The 6,355-nt window shown below is 32.5% G+C and overlaps 1 annotated feature.

Annotated features, from left to right (window-relative positions):
- Positions 2,549-2,749: a silencer, noted in NCBI's record as "peak6808 fragment used in MPRA reporter construct". NCBI's record gives its function as "represses an SCP1 promoter by STARR-seq MPRAs in K562 erythroleukemia cells {active_cell/tissue: K562}" and the evidence as "EXISTENCE:reporter gene assay evidence [ECO:0000049][PMID:32103011]".

Raw genomic sequence — 6,355 nt, 5'->3', positions numbered from 1 at the left:
GCATGCACACATTTAGTCACTCATCTCTGCCATAGCTTCATAGCACACTATAGTTGCTACTTTAGCACTTTCTTGAGTAGTCTCACATACAGATTGGTAAATTTTCTCTTTTTTTTTTTTCTGGAAGTACTGTATTTTTCACTTGTTAACATTAAATCGGTACCAAAGGTTATCTAACACATTTATTTTCTCTGTAAAGTCACATTACAGCTTTCTTGTGCTTAGGAACACTGTATAACACTTCAATATTACACTTGAGGGCCATTTTAAACAGTAAAATTATCAACAAAAAGCACAAGAACATGGAAAATGTGGCACCGGGGTAGCCTGCAGAAAGAACGCTAGTTTACAGTTTGAGAGCTGAACCAAGAAGACAGAGCGTTGTCCTGTTTGATCTCAGCCAGAAACATGCACATCTGGAGACTCAAATGTTTGCCACACTGGACACGCCCTTGAATAACCACAAAAGTAGCCTGAGTATTGATTTGGGGCTACAAACACATTTTAGCAAGTAGGCATATTTACAAATACGGAATCTGTAAATAAAGAGAATATCTGCATCTACAAATTATTCTACAAGGAAAAAGCTGGAAAACTTAATGGCTGATTAAAAAAAATCACAAGAGAATTTTGTTTTACAATACAGATGAATGTGGTAGGCAAACACTTCTGAAAGGAAGCCCTTTTCTTTACAAAATAAGAAGAGCTTTCAGAGACTCAAGACTTTGCAGAGACTCAAAAATACTCAAATATCTTGATGTAGTAGAAATAAATACCAACATGGCACGTGTATACATATGTAACTAATCTTCACGTTGTGCACATGTACCCTAAAACTTAAAGTATAATAAAAAAGAAATAAAGTATGATCACACAAATTTTAAAGTAGAAATGAAATTTTGTACAAAAATACTTCAGAAATAAAGTTGAAATTGGAACAGGTATAAGGAGAATAGAGACATTGCTGGAAACACACAAAGGAATATTGAGCATATAAATAATAAAAGCAAGTATACCCAAATTGAAATAGAGAATGAAAATGAATTAGCAATGCTTTTGGAGAAAGATCTTGATCAGAATGGGGAAATGTGAAAGCTGCCGATACCAGGATGAAGTAACCAGTCAAACACACACAAATTGGGGTCAGGAGGGCATGAAGGAAAGGAACTCATGCTTACTTGTCTGAGATACACACACACACACACACACACACACACACACACACACAGTCTAAAGGACTTTAAAAAATAACCCCACGAGAAATTCTTGCATGTTTCTCATATATACACATACTTTTATGATAAGGTTTATCACTAAACATTCTTTAGGATTGCAGCAATTCCGATAAGATGTTCCCTTAACACTTGCCGAGTAATAGCATCTCCACCAATGAACCAATATCTCTGGCTTTGAGCCAATGAATCCAATGAACTCTATTTCTGAGCAGTTTACGTAAACTTCAACCATTGGCAATAAAAGTTTTCCTTTACTCTTCCCTCACTGTATTTGCCATAGTACATCCCAGATTATAATTCTCTTTATTTACTCCCAAATACATTTGTTTTGTTGGGAGATAATCTTCTCTGGTGTCTTTTTTTCTTAAATTGACACATGAAAAATGTGGAAGATAGGTGTAAGAGTGCTGATATGTTCATTTTCTAGAAAATTTAAGTCATAAAGTAAAAGTAGTTTAAGTTATAATTCAAGAATATTCTTCTGAAGTAAAAATTAGACATGAATCTAGATATTGAAAAGGCAAACTATGTCCTTGGGAAATTGACACAGAATGGAAGTATAATGATACATCCTAGTAATGTTACTAAATTTAAAATATAAAGAGAGAATCATGTGGTTAGCTAGGCAAAAGTAAAGCTACTTATAGAGTCAGTCTAGATTTGTACATTTTCATAGCAATATCCAATAGCATAGCTAAAGTTTGTGAAGGAACATTTACAAAAATCCTCCAGGAAAGAAAGTATCACACAAGTTTTTTACCCAGCCAAATGTTTGTACAAATGAAAAGACACAAATAGTATAGAACATAACAGAAACCAAAGAATGTCAGTCCCAGAAAATCAGTGACAGAAGTGGCAGTGAGCATTGAATCTTTTTATTTGTAGGACTGTGATGAAAGTAAATATGAGGACTTAGCTGGCAGGGCAGAATGCAAATGCCAAAAACATGACTTGAAAATATAGAAATAAGTACAAATGACAAAAAATGGAAGAAAAGAAGATAGGAGATTGTGTAATGCTGACTTCCTCATCTTTAATGTCTGAGAGCAAAAGTATTTCACTTAAATCTGGCAAATCAAGTAAAACAGATATAAGTACATTTAATTGATAAGAATAAATACTAAGAATGGTAATATGCTCAACTAAAATCAGATGAGAGAGGAGAGACAGGAAGGCAGGATAAAGAGTATATAGACAAATTCCATTATTGTCCATAACAGGTAATTACATTCATGTGGGAAGTAATTAATTCAATGTAAAGAAACAGAAGCTTAAGGATATTGCACAAAATTAGAGATCTAAAACATAACCTCCAGAATGAAACTTAAATCTTAAGTTAGAATGATCTTAAATCTTCAATGTTAGAATGACACAAAAAATAAAACATACAACACATGTTTTTTAAAGCTACAAATCCACCAAGCTTAACATAAAATCCAATGCTCTATCCTAAAATAAACATTTCAGTTATAAATAGACAAACTCACTTATTAAAGTAACTTAGAGTTTCGATATAAATAACAAAGTTCAATTTTACTCTGTTCACAAGAAACAGAGTTAAAGCAAAGAGATTTATAATATTTAAAAAGAAAAGCATGAGTAGTGGCATACTTTTTCTTTTTTTCTGTTTCTGTTTTTGGAAGTACTACATTGTTGACTTGTTAACATTGAACTCATGGTGTGCCAAAGGTTATTTAACACCTATATTTTCTCTGTAAAAGCACATCACAGCTTTCTTGTACTTAGGGACACTATGCAATACTTTAGTATTACACTTTTAAACAGTAAAATTATGAATTGTAATCTTAATATCAGAGTAAAGCAAGAATTGTAATCTTAATATCAGACAAAAAAGTTAATGTCATATAAGAGCATGTAATAAGACCAAATAATATAATTAACACAGCAGATATTATAGTTATAACTACATAAACTTCAAATGAAATAAAGTCAACCTTTATAAAGCAAAATCTAGAAGTGACTCAAGAGGTAATAGGAACATAGAACTAGCAGGAGTGAGGAATTCAACTGTTTTCACTCTGTATCAGATTATGGGAAAAAACACATAGAGGTCTAAATAGCATAATTAACAAAATAGATATAATTAATACTTCACAGTCTCTGAAACCTGAAAACAGACAATGAACCTTCTTCTTCTTTTCTTTTTTTTTTTTTTTTTTTTTTTTTTTTTTGAGACGAAGTTTTGTTCTTGTTGCCCAGGCTGGAGAACAATGGCGTGATCTCGGCTCACTGCAACCTCTGCCTCCCAGGTTCAAGCAATTCTCCTGCTTCAGCCTCCTGAATAGCTGGGATTACAGGCTCCTGCCACCACGCCAGGCTAATTTTTGTATATTTAGTAGAGACGGGGTTTCACCATGTTGACCAGCCTGGTCTTGAACTTCTGACCCCGGATAATCCACCCACCTCGGTCTCCCAAAGTGCTAGGATTATAGGCGTGAGCCACCGCGCCCGGCCGAACCTTCTTTTTAAATGCCAGTAGAAAACTCATAAGGAAAGGGAAAGAAAGAAAGGAAAGAAAAGAAAGAAAGAAGGAAGGAAGGAAGGAAGGGCCACATATCAAGCCTAAAATAAACCTAATTTCCAAAAGTAAAATGAATGCCTGCATTATTTTCTAAACACAATTCAAAAAAATCAAATTACTAATAAAATAAGAAAATTAAATTTCCAAAATTTAACAAAACATGTAAATACTATCTGAAAAAAGCTTAGTAACAGTGCTTACTAAAGCAACAAACTTGACCATGTTCTTGAATAAGACTGAACATTATAAATATGCCAATTTCCCCTAAGCAATTTAATAATTATAATGCAAACCCAGTGAAAGTTGCAACTGGATTTGTTTTAACTGTAGACAGGATGATGCTGAAATCACATGGAAAAGAAAAAAGAATGAACAGCAGGACACTTCTATAAGAGAAGAGTTATGAGGAATCCTGGTCTTTTGTATTTTCAAACATTATAAAATCAGAGTGATTTGAAGACTGTTACTGGTGCATGGTTAGAGAGACACATCAATGGATCAGAATAAAAAGATTTTAAGTAAAGCACATATTTTCAATATATGTTGAATTATAAAGCACATAATTTTCAATATATGTTGAAATTTTGTTTATGATGATTATGACATCACAAATCAGTAAGGCAAAGTTTGATTACTCAATAAACATACCGAAACCACTAAAAGTGCTAGAAAAATAATAATGTTGGATTTATGGCTTTCCCTTTACGCTGTGTCTCCCAGGAGTCAAGATCCATTCCCAAGACACGGGCAAGCAAGAAAAACTCCTTCACTATATACTCCTGAGAATGTTAAACCATGTCAATGTATAACTTTTAAAGAAAAATTAAATGCAAAAAGCTTCTTTGTTTATTCAGTTTTGAAAAATGTATTTTTCTGATTATACAAAAAATATGTTATAAAAATGTGAGGAATGCAGAACATATCAAAAATAACTGAGACAGAGTAAAGCACAATCCCAATAATGCCAAAAAGCAATAAATGGCAGTTATTACTACACTTCTTTTTATGTTTCTATTTCATTTATTCATTTTATTCCACACTTAAGTCACATGTAATACTTAATAAAGTTGAATGATTTAGTCAGAATCCTTTTTCAGCTGGACTTCATGCCACAATTTCATTCTAACTTTTCACCTACGTCTTTGACCTTAGTGTCTTTGTCATCAGAGCTACTTTGTGAATCATCCAACACAATTTTCCAAAGCACATCATTTTCACTTCCCTTTAAGTTATTTGAAATATAACACCTTTTGAATCAATGTGTGTTCCTTTAGTGGAAATCTTATTTCAAGCCAGAAGTACTCTTTCATAAACCATTAAGATATTTGCCTTTTAAAAAATTATTGATATGTAGTCATAATTTGAAACTGTAACCACTGCTACTTTAAGAACTTGAATTACCAATTCCAAGCTTTGTGCCTTTGAATTACAAAGTCCTTCATTACACTGACCCAATTTAGTGATTAGAGTTTGTGATTTATTCTTTATCTTCTCATATCAAATTGATTTACTCATACCTATTTCACTTAAATTAGTTAATGCCCTTTTACTTTCTCATCTTACTCTTTTGCTTTTTGTTCCTTGAATATCTCCTTTTCTCTCCTTTCCATTGCATTAAATATTCCTTCCTTGCTTCTCTAGCTATCCAAATCCTACACAGCTTTCAAGATTTAACACAAATTACGCTTCTTCTAAAACTGCATTTTTACTCACGGCACGTTTAGCATGTTTTTCTTACTCTTCTGAGTTCTTATAGAAATTTGTGTTCATTTTATTAGTAGTTTTTTACTCATATTGAATAATTCAAATATTTTATCATCACATTTTACTTACTAATATCTTATATCTCCATGTTGGTGGTAAACACAATTCTTTGCATTTCACCTAACAGTTTATTTCACATAATAGGTGCTCAGCCTTACCTAAATCTTGAGAAAGTCCTTGAAGTTTCTAAATCTCAGTTTATTCCTTTGAATAATAGAGAATATTGGACCAGGTGAATGTTCAAGGCCTGTCTCAATACTAACTCTCCAATGCCGATTTAATTCTTGAACACTATTCACATTTCCCACTAGATGGTACTAACACCAAACAAACACTACTTGAGAAAATTGATAGTATTTTTCCCCAGAAGGTCACTGCACTATTTTATTTGTCCTGGACTAATTATTTATCGTGTACATAAGACAAAATACACGTTTTTTTCTGATACTATACAACAGTCTACTGTTGGTATAGCTGAACATAAACTAATAGCTACAGCATGAGATGCATTATTATGTTTCAAGAAAAACGATAATATTTTTGAGTGGCAGAGATGAATAATCAGGATGGGTAGCCTGTTATGTACAACAGTTCTAATTGGAAAAATACATTAGAGACATATACATTCAACCGTGGTACCATCAAACCAATCAAGGAACCAAACATATCTTATTACTTCTAAAAATGTACTTGTATTCTTTTGAGTGTGTGTTTTTTTGTAAGACCACTTAACATGAGATCTGTCCTTTTAACATATTTTAAAGTGCACAATATTGTATTGTATATAGCAGATCTCTATGTCATATTCATCTTG

The sequence above is a fragment of the Homo sapiens genome, chromosome 7 (assembly GCF_000001405.40).
Source record: "Homo sapiens chromosome 7, GRCh38.p14 Primary Assembly".
NCBI classification, from domain to species: Eukaryota; Metazoa; Chordata; class Mammalia; order Primates; family Hominidae; genus Homo; species Homo sapiens.
This window is presented reverse-complemented; position numbering and strand designations above follow the sequence as displayed.